Source organism: Homo sapiens, chromosome 3 (assembly GCF_000001405.40).
Source record: "Homo sapiens chromosome 3, GRCh38.p14 Primary Assembly".
NCBI classification, from domain to species: Eukaryota; Metazoa; Chordata; class Mammalia; order Primates; family Hominidae; genus Homo; species Homo sapiens.
In genome coordinates, this window is record NC_000003.12 from 188,172,327 (window position 1) to 188,185,959 (window position 13,633).

The 13,633-nt window shown below is 44.6% G+C and overlaps 1 protein-coding gene and 1 long non-coding RNA gene across 47 annotated transcripts in view, besides 1 other annotated feature; both read left to right on the forward strand.

Annotated features, from left to right (window-relative positions):
* The window catches only part of LPP (LIM domain containing preferred translocation partner in lipoma), a 737,651-nt gene that overhangs the window by 19,306 nt on the left and 704,712 nt on the right, over positions 1 to 13,633 (forward strand). The gene's annotated exons all lie outside the window — the stretch shown is intronic.
* Positions 6,217 to 8,482, forward strand: FLJ42393 (uncharacterized LOC401105). Its single transcript, NR_024413.1, has one exon. It is a non-coding gene; the product is annotated as an uncharacterized LOC401105 (long non-coding RNA).
* Positions 6,981 to 7,593: an enhancer, noted in NCBI's record as "H3K27ac-H3K4me1 hESC enhancer chr3:187897095-187897707 (GRCh37/hg19 assembly coordinates)". NCBI's record gives its function as "activates a minimal SCP1, AML or CMV promoter by ChIP-STARR-seq in primed H9 embryonic stem cells {active_cell/tissue: H9 hESC(primed)}" and the evidence as "EXISTENCE:reporter gene assay evidence [ECO:0000049][PMID:30033119]".

The following is a 13,633-nucleotide window of genomic DNA, read 5'->3' on the forward strand; positions in this document are numbered from 1 at the left end:
TGTTGCTCAGTATTTTTAGGCCTCTGTTGCCTCATCCATAAAATAATAATAAGAAAATTACTTATCTTGTTGTGAGGATTAAATGAGTTAATACATATAAAGCCCTTAGAACAGAGCCTGACATGTGATAAGTGCCCATTAAATATTAGCCACTGTTATTATGTGTTACCCTTATTAAGTCACAAAATGGCGATTTGGAAAAGATAATAGAGATTATCTAAATGATTGTGTTTTTTTTGTTATTGTTGTCTTTTTAAATAAACTTTTAATTTTGGAGTAATTTTAGGTTGATAGAAAAGTAAAAATTGTACAGGGAATTTTCATATACTACTCACCCACTTGTCCTCATTTTTGATGTCTTACATTACTATGGAACGTTTGTCAAAACTAAGAAACTGATGTTGGTACATTACTGTGAACTAAACTCCAAACTATTTAGATTTCACCAGCTTTTCCACTAAGTTCCTCTTTCTGTTCCAAGATCTAGTCCAGGATACCCAGTTTAGGATCATTTTAAAACTTTCATCTTCTTTAATATTTATTTACTTATTTTTTTGAGACAAGGTCTTGCTCTGTCCCCTAGGCTGGGGTCCCCCACTTGTGTGATCATAGCTCACTGCAGCTTTGACCTTCTGGGTTCAAGCAATCCTCCCACCTCAGCCTCTGGGGTAGCTGGGACAACAGGTGCATGCCACCACACCCAGATAAATTTTTGTATTTTTTGTAGCGACAGGGTCTCACTGTGTTGCCCAGGCTGGTTTCAAACCCTTGGGCTCTAGCCATCCTCCTGCCTCAGCCTTTTAAACTGCTGGGATTACAGGTGTAAGCCACCACGCCTGGCCCATATTCCTTAATATTTAGAGAAGGATTCCTTATAGAAAAGCCTATTACAGGTCAGGCGCGGTGGCTCATGCCTGTAATCCCAGCACTTTGGGAGGCTGAGGCAGGCAGATCACCTGAGGTCAGGAGTTCGAGGCCAGCGTGGCTAACATGGAGAAAGCCCATCTCTATTTAAAAAAATACAAAAATTAGCCGGGTGTGGTGGCTCACGCCTGTAGTACCAGCTACTCAGGAGGCTGAGGAAGGAAAATCACTTGAACCTGAGAGGCAGAGGTTGCAGTGAGCTGAGATTGTGCCATTGTACTCCAGCCTGGGCAACAGAGTGACTCCGTCTCAAAAAAAACAAAAACAAAAAAAACAAACAAAAAAAACCAACCTGGGCAGCAGAGTGACTCCATCTCAAAAAAAAAGTAAGAAAGAAAAGCCTACTATGACGTATAATGTTGTAATCATGTAATCTGGAGCAGCTGCGGATGAAGTCGAGCAGGATGGGACCCACCTTTTTTTCTTCCCCTGATTTATCTCCCTGAAGGGCTCCAGCAAAGCAGGGCTTAAAAGTCACTGCATTGAGTCTCCTTGTTCTTAGGGGAAGAGACTGAGGCCCCCAAAAGTGAAGTGACAATGCTGGGAGAAGCTGGAAGCCCAGAGAAGATCAGAAAAGGATCTTCAAGATACCTTGATCCTGTCCTTGTTGAATAAATGAGTGAGCAACTATCGGGGACTCCCAAAAATTAGGGTTTGGATCCAGGCTCCTCCACCTTTCCCCTCATTTTTCCTTATCTGTAAAGTGGGTTCACTGATCAGTAATGTCTCATAGGACTTAACCCTCACAAAATGCCACAGTTTTACCCTGTGAAAGTTAAGCAAACCGTTGTGCCCACTTTTAGCACAGCCTGGAACGTAGTAGGTTCTCAATCAATGTTTGAAAAAGAAGCCTTGAAAATCAGGAAATTCTCCCCTTAGAACTTATTTCAAGAAGATTGGGACAAGCTGGTGCAAAACAAAGAAGAGTTATTCATGAGGAAATCTGTGACACTCAGGAATGGAACCAGTGTTTGAGTATCTGATAAGCAGGATATACTGTCTGTTTTTATTCTTGGAGGCTTTTATCATACAATACTACATTATGTTACAGTCTGACTTTCACACAAATTGGATCCCAAAACTTCTTACAGGAATTAAAAATACAAACTCGTGGGCAGTATGTGTTTTATAAATTACAGAAAACAGTAGTGTAAAGACATGGCATAGCAAGTGCAGCGAAGCGTGCGCAGGCATTGATACCCGAGGAACGCACGCATGAGGCAGCAGGGAAGGCACAGCATGCTGGGTGAGGCAGCAGGTGCACAGTTCTGTCCCTGGAGCCTGGAGAGATGGGGGAGGAGGGACATCTCTAGCTGGGAGGCTGGGTGAAGGAGCTGAACCCTGGAGACATAAATACCCTGTATATCTTCCTTATCCTGCCATTTATGGTCTTATTGAAGGGGGCCAGCTGACTTCTGAAACCTCATCTCCATTGCTTTCCCTCACTCTTGTCTTTGTTGCAGCACTTTCTGCATTTGGATTACCCTGCCCTGCCATCATTACCTGTTTGAATCCAATTGATCTTCAAGGTCCAGCATATTAATACCACCTCTTCCATGAAGCATGCCTTGATTTCTGCCCATCCCCCCTAAGCAGGAAATCATCACTTCCTCTTATGGTTCCATGGCCCTTTGTCTGTACTGCTTGCATGGCACTGATCACTTCTTACCTTCTCTTGTAGTTATCAATATGCTCGTCTTATTTTGGGCTTTTACTTCTTTAGGACCTTCTCGTCTGCCTGGAACTTGGCAAACAGTGAACATTTGTTGGATGGATGGACAGGTTTGACACTGCTGACACTAGACTCAAATTTAGTTTCTTTAGAGTAGAATTTTATTTTATTTTATATTTTTTGAGTCAGAGTCTCGCTCTGTCGCTCAGCCTGGAGTGCAGTCGTGGGTTCTTGGCTCACTGCAACTCCACCTCCTGGGTTCAGGCGATTCTCCTACCTCAGCCTCCCAAGTAGCTGGGATTACAGGTGCCTCCCACCATGCCTGGCTAGTTTTCTTTGTATTTTTAGTAGAGATGACATTTTGCCATGTTGCCCAGGCTGGTGTGAAACCCCTGACCTCAAGTGAGCCGCCTGCTTGGCCTCCCAAAGTGCTGGGATTACAGGCGTGAGCCACCACGCCCCACCTAGAGTAGAATTTTAACTTGCTTATCTTTACATCTCCCATGCTGGCACTGAGAAGGTGCACATTCATTCATTTCACAATAAAGTTTCAGGCACTATTTCAGCAGTAAACAGTCCATTTGTTGATAGTTAACACAGAGAAAATAGTACTCATTGGGATGTGTTTTTATACTTGTAAGGTCGATCTGGATTTGTTTGTTTGTTTTGATATGTAAGGACCAAGAAAGAAAAGGTTTGCTAATCTACGAGTATTTCTGGTGTAGAATGCAAATGCTCTCTTATTCCTTCAACTGGCTTTATACTAAAAAGAGATCACTGGGCTCAGAAAGGTCCTATTTTTCAGATAATACAGCAGTTCCTTACTGACTTGCCTCAGGAGTAAACTCCTTTTCCAATTTTTAAAAGGATAGTACCAGGATGCCACTGTGCTCATAGTTGGGCTTTTTTGTACATGTTAATTTTTTTTTTTTTAAATATAGTGACAGAATGCATACCACTGAGGTGGTAAATGGAAAAAATAAGTGCAGTGGAGTATACTGTCTGTTTCTTGGGGCCTTTTCTATTAATCACAGGAGGAAGCATCAGACATGACCAGATGAGAGAGCCAGATGACCCAAGTTCATGCCAGATCAAAATCAGAATGGCAAAATTGGGAGGAGTTGATGCTGTTGAATTGAGAAAGCATAAGGTTCTCAGAGTGATAGAGCTGGAAGGATCATAAAGGTCATCTAGTCTAATGGTTCTCAAACTCGAAGGAACATTAGGGTCATCCTGGAGAGTTTACTGGGCCCCGTCTCAGAGGTTCTGATGCTGTAAATCAGGCGGGACCCCTGAATTTTCATTTCTAAGAAGCTCACAGGTGCTACTAATGTTGAAGAGAACCTATGATCTAGTTCAACTTCTGGGATTTCTTGCTTTCTTTCTTTTGTAAAAAAAATAAATAAATAAATTTAAAAAAGAGTTTTTGAAGATGGGGAAATGAGGCCTGGAAATAGAAAAGATTTGCCTAGAGTCACACACACTGTCAGGTCAGGTAGAGTCAAAATCAGGCACCCCGACTCACAGACTGCTTCACATTGCCATCAGAGATTGTCCTGCAACAATATTATGTTTAGTTCTACTGCAGAATGATAACTGGATCTTACCCCCTTTGCCTGATCTGGCCACAAACTTGTTTTTCAGGTCTTTCCATTAGGCTCTCTTCAGCTAATTAAAAAAAAAAAAATCAGTTAACCCACATTTATTGACCAGTGCTGTGTGTTCACAACTGTATTTAGACTAGTGGTATAGCAGTGCAGTAGTCTGAAAACATTTTCTCATCTGTAAACAAAGACAGTCATACCTCCTAGGACTGCAAGAAGTCACTGAACATATACCTGGCCCTTAGTGTACACATTACTAAAGAGAATAAGATGTGGTCTGCACCCTCTCATGCACCAGTGGCTTCTTGAGCAGTATGATAGAGAGAGACAGCTGAGATTTAGTGGAAAAACACAAGGCTTAGAATTGGGAGAGCTGGGTTCAAGCCCCAGCTTTGCCACTAAATGGCTGTGTAGTCTTGAACAAGTCACCTGCCCTCTCTGAGCTATAATTTGAAATAGACTTAGCTTAAGCAACAGGAAAGCAGTAATGAGCTAGAGGAAGGATAGAAATTGGGAAGAAGTATAAATCTGCTTAGGAGATGGCAAGTTTGGGGCTGAGGTGGAATTGATCTGAGGGAGAGACCTGGTAGAAAGAGCTAGGCAGTATGAGGCTGAGTGTCTGAAGGGGTAGCAGGCCTGGGGGTGGTCCAGTGATGGTTGAATGGGTGGGCCAGCCCAGCGAGGGGATCGCCTGCAATCCAGTAGAGATGCCCTCATTTTCATGGCAGGGTCCCCCTGTGCCAGTAGACAGACCCAGGCCTGGGAAGGAGGGCTGGTTGAAGTGAGATGGATACCAGTCTTGGAGCATGGTTGGAGAATCTGTCCAGGGTGATGGCATCTGTTTTGGATTGGGGCCTTGAGGCACATTTTCAGTTCTGCTCCCTGGACCAGCATAGGAGGGTGGCAGACAGTACAGTGATTTGAATACAGGATTGATCCTGCCACCTTGATTTCTGCCTTTATTTAGCGGCAAAGACACTAGATCAGAAAAGTACTGGATGTGATTGCTGTAGTCTTTCATGATTGATTTAGGAGCTGGGAGAGGCCTGGCTAGGAGTTGGAGGATCCCTGGGAAGATGAAGATTAGGTCTTACGTGAGCCTCAGCCCTCTCCTCTGTAAAATGGGAGTAATGATGGTAATTATGCTGATGTTACCTATTCTGACTGGAGTAAGGATTAAAGTACTTGTCTGGAGGAAGGCACTTCATGGTTAAAACATGAAAAGAGAAGTGCACAGTGTTTTTATTACAGGGAAACACCAAAGAGCTGGAAAGGAATGAGGGCTGGAGAGATGGAGCTGCCCTGAGGACTCTGGGAGGTCATCCTGGGGGCAGAACTTTGACAGTTGCTGCCCGAGGTGGGACAGGGATGCTGGGAAGATGTGACGATGTGCATAAGTGTGTCATGTTCAAGATGGTTCTAAGCCCTGGCCAATTCCATACATGCTCTTTTCCTTTCTCATCCATAGAGGTTTTGGCAAAGGCATACTTGGGAGTGTTGATATAGCTGACACTGCAGCACCCTCAGTTTACAGGTGTGAGAAGAGTGAGGCTCCCACAGTCTCACTTGGACAGGTAGTCAGGGCTCTGATGGAGCTCCTGGAGTTTCTAGGTTCTCTGTCACTTGATAGTCAGTGCTGGGAGGGACCTCAGGGAATCAGCCAATTTCACAGATGGGGAGAGTGAGGCAGGTTGGGAATTCTGGCCCCAGTGGAGGGCACCACATGCCCACAGGGAAATGTCTTTCCCAGCCCCCTCCTCATGCTTCTCCTCTTTTCTGTCTGGAAGTCCTAGTTCTCCTCCTCACGCTGAGACCCAGGTAGGGTGATTGTCCATGTTTCTTCATTTATCTGTTTTTTTTCTGTTGCCCAGGGACTACTCTAAGCACCATGCTGGTTGCTGACTGTTCGCTTTTGCAAGATCTTGGAATCTCTGTTTGTTCACATCACAACTCAAGAGGATACGTTCTCATTCTCCCAATGTTTGTCTTCTGCCCATTGCATCAAATTGCTCTTCCTTGTTTGGAATTAAACTTCTAGCAATCATTTACCTTTATGGTTCTCTTAACTTCAGGTCACACTGTTGTTTAGTCAATGTGAGAATCTTTCAGATGTTCTGCACTTTGCAAAAGGATATTCACAGCCAATGTGTGCGGCAGTGAAGGACACTTGTTGATTCCTTATTTATTGTCTGCTGTTCCAGGGACCGGGGACTAGAGGTGAATAAAGCCTTGTTTGGGCTGTCTAGGATGTTGTGATCGACACAGGAAACAGACATGAAAGCCAAATTGGCGCAGTGGGTGAAGTATTGTAATACTGGTCTCTGTTTATGATATATGGAAGAAGTTTCCTAGTAGCAGGGTGGGTGAGAGAGTCCATCATCATTGCAGATTGGTGCCTCTGTGGACATGCAGGTATATTAGGCCAGAGGTGGGGAGTGGGAGAGAGAGGGAGAGAGAGAGCACGACAAAGAGAGAGAGAGAGAGTGAGCAAGAGAGAGGGAGGGAGAGAGACAGAGAGAGAGAGAGAGAGAGAGAGAGAGTGAGCAAGAGAGAGGGAGGGAGAGAGACAGAGAGAGAGAGAGAGAGAGAGGTTTTGAGAGCATTGATATGGGGTCTACATATTCCCCCCGGCCCCCATTCCCTATTATCATAGAAGCATGCTGCCCTCCAAGGCTTTTGAATTTGCCACCGTGAAGAGCATGCATGGAATCTTCGGCTGTGGCCTTGCATTGCCCCCTGTCTTCGCAGCGGAGCTTCTTTATCTGACCCGTGCATGTGCCTCTGATGAGCAGCCCTTCATCACAGCTCTGCGGCCTCCTCCTAGGCCCCCGCCTTCAGCTCTCCAGTTCATTTCCCGCCTTGTTCCCATTGCCACCTGCGGGCTTGGAGGGCCACCTGACATTCTGTCCTTTGGGTCCCCTGTGACTCCAGAGCTCCTTCCCTTCTGGGGCGCCCACATCTGCGACACGCTTGTTTGCCCAGTGCATTTTCTACACTTAGAGTTCCTCTCGTGCTCTCATATTTCCATTTAAAGCCCTCTCGAGAGGTCTGTCTCCTGCCAGCAGCATTCCTTCTAGTTTACTAGAACTCCATTTCTCATCCTGCCAGGAATCCAGCCGTGGAGTGAGCTTCAGCAAGCCTCTCTGCAGTCTCTTGTCTGCTCCAAAACTGTGGCCTCTGGTTGTGAGAAATGGGCATCCTGAGTCAGTGAGAGCAGTAGTTAGCTTGCAGCAGCTTCCCCTCTCCCCCTGAGTGAGCCTTTCTTCCTCTTCCTCCTCTTTCATTCAGCCTCATCCTGCCTTGGGTCCATTTGACAGATAATGGCACCTTGAGGCCTTGTCTTTTGCATGGCATCTGTGCCTGACTGGTCAGAAATTACTTGTGAAGCAACATAGGGGGTTGTTGGTTGGGTCCACTTTTAGGATGAAGTCAGAAGGGATCGTGAGTGATGCTTGGCCAATAAGAATGTATTGATTTGATTTACTAATTAATTTCATTTCCAGACACCAATATATGCATAGCCTTGTTTGAAGAAAATTAAGGAGAACCATTTTGTAAATGGCAATGAGTGTAAGACACTTAACTATCTTCCTGCTCTCCCTGGCGTGGGCTTCCGCGCTCCCTGACTCTGCTTTTATTTAAGGTGTCTGGGAAGGCATTTGTCCTTCGGCTTCCCAGCTGGCTTCTTGCCTTCTCACTCACTGCCTCCCGTAGCCTGTGGGCAGAATCCCTCACCGTGCCCACCTTGCCCTGCTCTCGTCTGACCTCACCTCTGTTTCCAGGATTTGCTATGGCTGTCCCCTGCCAGTCATGCTCTGTGCTTGCTACTCTGAGTGTGTCCCTGGTCCCACTCTCTTGCAGCCTCTGTGTCTTAGCACATGCTGCCCTGATGGCCCAAGGGCCCTTCCCCTTTGTTTCTGTCTGGGGAATGTTCTGTCTCCTCTTTCTTGAACCTCCTTATATTCCCTCAAGAAGACTTAAGGCAAAAACAAACCTGAACTTACTATGTGTGGTATTTTTGTGTTATAAGTGTAGGACCTAGTCATAGTAACACATTTCAAAAATATGGAACCGTATAAAGAAAATGAGCATCACTCATAAATCACTATTTAGACACAAGCATTGTTTACGTTTCTAATATTCTTTCTTTAGTGGTGCTTTTCATGATTTTATGTGCATTTGCATTTTACTGACTAAATATTACTATATAAACATTTTCATATCTTGCCACTTCACCTAACAATACAGCACAAGCAGCTTCTCATGGCATTAAGAATTGTTTGTACATGTAATTTTGAATGGCTGTATGCTGTTTCATCTTAAGAATATACCATAATTCTAATTTTTCATCATTATAAATAGCACTGTGACGAACATCCTTCTTAACAAAATTCTTTGTCTGCACCTATGATTATTTTCTAAGGTAGATTATTAGAATTTGAAATGCCTTGCACAAAGGACAGTAACTTTTTCACCCTTAGTTTCAGAGAGAACATGTTGTCTCTGGAGAAACACAGAAACATGAAAAAGCACAAAGAAGAAAATAGGCCTGGCACGGTGGCTCATGCCTGTAATCTCAGCACTTTTGGAGGCCGAGGTGGGCGGATCACGAGGTCAGGGATTCGAGACCAGCCTGGCCAATATGGTGAAACCCCGTCTCTACTAAAAATACAAAAACTAGCTGGACTTGGTAGCGCATGCCTGTAATCCCAGCTACTCAGGAGGCTGAGACAGGAGAATTGCTTGAATCCGGGAGGCAGAGGTTGCAGTGAGCTGAGATTGTATCACTGCACTCCAGCCTGGGTGACAAAGTGAAATTCCGTCTCAAAAAAAAAAAAAAAAAAGAAGAAGAAAATAAAAACCACCTGCAGTCATTTGCAACAGCCAGTGTGAAATTTGCTACATAATTGTATCTGTGTATCTATCTTTCTACCCTACAGGTTGCCAAACATTTTCTGTAAAGGACTGGGTAGTAAATATTTTAGGCCTTGCAGGCCATACATGGTCTCTGTCTCCTCCTCCTCTTGTTTCCGCTGCTGCTTCAAGATTCTTTTAACTATAGAAAAATTATTTCTCGCTAGTAAGCTGTATAAATATCAGTTTTCCCACCTGGTTCTAGCCTCAAAAGTGGAGCAATTCTGTACATACTTTGAAAGCAATGTTTAAAAATTTATTTAATTTAATTAATTAAAAAATTAATTGGTTACTTTTTAGAGACAGGGTCACTCTCTGTTGCTCAGGCTGGAGCACAGTGGCATGAGCATAGCTCACTGCAGCCTTGGAAATCCTGGGCTCAATCAATTCTTCTGCCTCAGCCTCCCAAGTAGTTGGGACTACAGGTGCACGCCACTGCACCTGGCCATGTACATACTGTTTTGTAATTGTTCTCTTCCACAATTTAACTACTTCATCAGCGTCCTCATAGTTTTCTGTTTTAGGCAACCCAGATATAATTACTGGCTTTCTGCTGGGATGCCCACAGCACTTTGGCCAGATCTCTGATATAGAATTTAAGGCACATTTTATTGCGAGTATTTGCTGAGATGTCTCTTTCTTAAGTCTAACTCCTCGTGAGTCTTTCCAGCCTCAGCACATTTCCTGAGTGGTGCTTAATAGATGCTCAGCAAATCTGTGTGGAACGATTGCCTTAGGCTGCAAGTTTATCCCTTCACAATGCCTACATTTAGATTGCAACTCCAGGCTTGCTCCTTGGGCCAGCAGCATCAGTATCACTTAGCACTTGTTACCAGTGGAGACTCTCGGTCTCACCCCAGAATCTATGTCTTTAGGTGTTGCTGAAAGTTTGAGAAGCATTACTGTAGAGCTCACCTCTGCTATATTCATCATGTACTTATTTATAGTCATCCCTACCTCGTTCTTTTCATTGGTCGGAACTTCCTGTGACTAGACCATGGGTATTCCTTAATTGACTGACACAATTTGTTTCACATACAGCACCAGCTGCCATCTGGCCTAGTGAGACCTATGTGGCTGCCATTGTTTTTGGCTGGGAGTGGTTGTGATAGATAGAGGAGGGAGCAAATATTTAATTAGCACCTGCTATGTGCCAAGTCCTGTGCCCAGCTCTTTACACACATTCTTCCAAGGGTGAGACATGATGGTGTTTGCTGAAGGGAACATAGGGATCTTTAAGTCCAGTGATTTTTAACCAGCTAAAGAATTGAATATATATATATAACATATGCACATAATATATATACATATATGTACATATATTATATATGTGCATATATAATATATGTACATATACAATATATGCACATATATAATATATGTACATATAATATACATACACACACATGCCCAGCCCTTACTCCAGTCTAGAATCAAAATCTCTGAGAAGTAGACCTGGTCAAGAGTACTTAGAGAAAATTCCCTCAGTGTTTCCATTGTACATTGCTGGTGAAAAACCAATGGTCTAGGCCAGCATCCTATTGTACAGATGAGAAAGGTGAGGCCCAAAGAGGTCAATGAGCATCCCAAGGTCACATAAATTTAATAGCAAGGCCAGACCTAGATTTTGTACTATCTGCCTGAGGACACACTTCACATTACCTGAGCTGCTTCTGACCTGCAGTGTTGGGGTGGAAGTAGAAGTGGGTGAAGAGGTTGAACTCTTGTCCTCGGATCTCTGAGCTTGATTGGGCAGCTGGGAGTGTAGAAAACAGGCACCACGTCCTGGAGTATCCTTTCCATTCCCCCTCCACCTTTGCCCACCTTCCTTATGTCCTCTTTGGGGCTATGATTGAAGAGGCTTGAGACATTGAAGAGCATCAATATCTACTGCTCTAAGTGACCCAGGCAGCTGCTGTGACATCTGGTGTCTTCCTTTATCTTTGTAGAGTCATGGGCAGCACCTGTAAAGGCAGGTGTGAAAGAAGCTTTGTTCTGATTCTTTTTTCACTGTCCCCTCTGTATCAGACACTGTCATGGGAGCCCCCGGTCAACTTCTTGCTTCCAGTTGTGCCCAGCCAGCAGCAAACAGAATGAGACATCAGCTGAAGCTTTTCAAAGACATCCTGTGGAAGGGCATACAGACTTCATGTAGTGGCCAAGGGTGTGATTAGCACTGATTACGTGGCAAAGCGGAATAGAACTAATGACCATGATAGCTGCCATTTACCCAGTGCTCACTGTGCCAGGCACTCTGCTTGAATCATTTCCCGTAATCCTGTAACAGCCATGGGAGGGGGTGGGAGTGGGAGGGGGTGTGCTGGGGAGGTTTTATGGCCTCCCATAAGTGGCAAGCTGGGATGTGAACCCAGTTCTGCTTGATTTTAAAGTCCATGACCTTAATTGTCGTACTACACTGCTTTCCTAGCTGGATATGTGCTTATACCTTCTAACCTGCCACTGCTAGGAATTTAAGCAAAAAGCCCATAGAGATAGACTGAACTAGTGTGTAAGGACCTATGGTAGCAGATGTCAAAAATGGAGTGGACTGTATCAATTGGTATAAGATTTCCAGTTGCTGGAGGTGTTCAGGCAGGGACCACGGTACCTCCTTGTGGGAGACTATCAAATGGAAGATTTGACTGGCCATCGCAGTGCCTCTGGGATTCTAATTCATCGGGGCTTCCAAGATATGAATTTGTTTGGAAGATTCTGTCATAGAGCAATAAAATGTACTTTGGGTAAAAATCTGTGGATAGGGCATTGGTGAGGCTCTGAAGGATTTGATTTTGCACGGACTACTTCCAGCACCGAGAGTCCTGCTGCTGGGGTTTCTTAGTGCCTGCCATGTGCCCTGCACTGTTTGGCTCTGGCTGGGCCCCAGATGTGAGAACTTTCCCACAAGGAGCTCCCCATCCAGGAGGGAAGGGAGAGCATGCTGTCACTGAAAGATAAACTATCCAGTGCCAGGGAGTGTGGGGAGAGAGACAAGTGTGCTGCCTGGGGAGCTTACACGAAGGATGCATTCAATGAACCAGGAAATTTGTTTTTTAAATATTGGATTTGAACTGGGCTTTGAAGGCTATATGGCATTCCTTTAGGTTGTAGGAAGGTGGTATCGGGTCACCATACTGAGCTGTGTGGTGGGAAAAGCAGGTCGGACCCTAATGTGAGCCTTGAGTAATAAGGAATTGAAGAGTGAGCCTCCTGGGCTTCTTTTTAAAGTGAATAGGGCTCCGGTAAACTTTTTTTTTTTTTTTTTTTTAGGATAGTAGAGAAAGAGCAGGGGTACATTTTGTAATTCAATAAGCATTTGCATTGAGGCCACTGTGACTGGAGCAAGCTGAGCCCACCTCTGTTAATGACTAAGAGTTAGCCTGAAGGAGATGTAGGTTGGGCAGGGCCTACCAGGAAGGGGGACTGGCTGGTGTAGGTAAAGGGGCAGTGCAGTGTCAGCACCTAGGTTTCGAAAGGCTCCAGATGCTGAGATGGTGACAGGGTCTTGGACGTAAGAAGAGAGAGCTATGAAACACAGGCACAGGTACAGTGTGAAATTTTGGAAATCCCTAAAAATGAAGCCAATGGGAGTGCTGCTGTGAACTGTGATACGTGTTTGCACCTGGCCACTGGCATATCTTCTATCTCTGTTTGCAGAGACGCCTTCTTTTTATACTTCTTTTGATGGTAGAGGAGGAAAGGACTTGAGTCTTAGAGCCAAGGAGGCCTGGTTTTGAAATTGTCCTCTGTTAATTTACAGCTCTGTGACCTCGAGAATGTTGTTTCTCCTCCCTGAGTTGCAGACTCTTCATCTGTGAAATCGGGGAGCGGGCGGGGTGGGGGGAATATTCTTACCCTGTAGGGCACAGGTTGCAGGGAAGGAGAGAATATCCACTGAGTCCAGTAAATGCAAGTCAGGAACATTAATCTTCTTCACTCGCTCTTGTTTTATCCAGAGTAGATAACTCTGTTTTCCCCCTATATACCCCACAGTTTATAGAGTGGATAACTCTCTTTTCCCCCTATATACCCCACAGTTTATAGAGTGGATAACTCTCTTTTCCCCCTATATACCCCACAGTTCATAGAGTGGATAATTCTCTTTTCCCTCTATATACCCCACAGTTTATTGCGTGGATAACTCTCTTTTCCCCTACATACCCTGGCTGACTTTGTGCCTTTGCCCGTGTAATTTCTACCTTCCAGAAAGCTACTTTTTCTTCACATGTTTCAATCATTTCCATTTGTTTGGGTCAAGCCTCTGCATGGTTCCTTGGACACTCTCCCTAGGAATCCCAACGGGCAGCGGCTTCCCTTCTGTCGTTCTCTCATGGTGTGGGTAATTGTTGACCTAATGTTATGTTTTGTGTTTACACCCCTCTCACCTGTCAGCTGCCTGAGATCAAAGTTCTGATTCATGTCTCCCCTCTCTGCAGCACTCAGCATGAAGCCTGGCACATAGCGGGTGCCCATAAATGGGTCTTAAATGACTGAGAAAAAGAAGCGATCAGGCTGACAACTG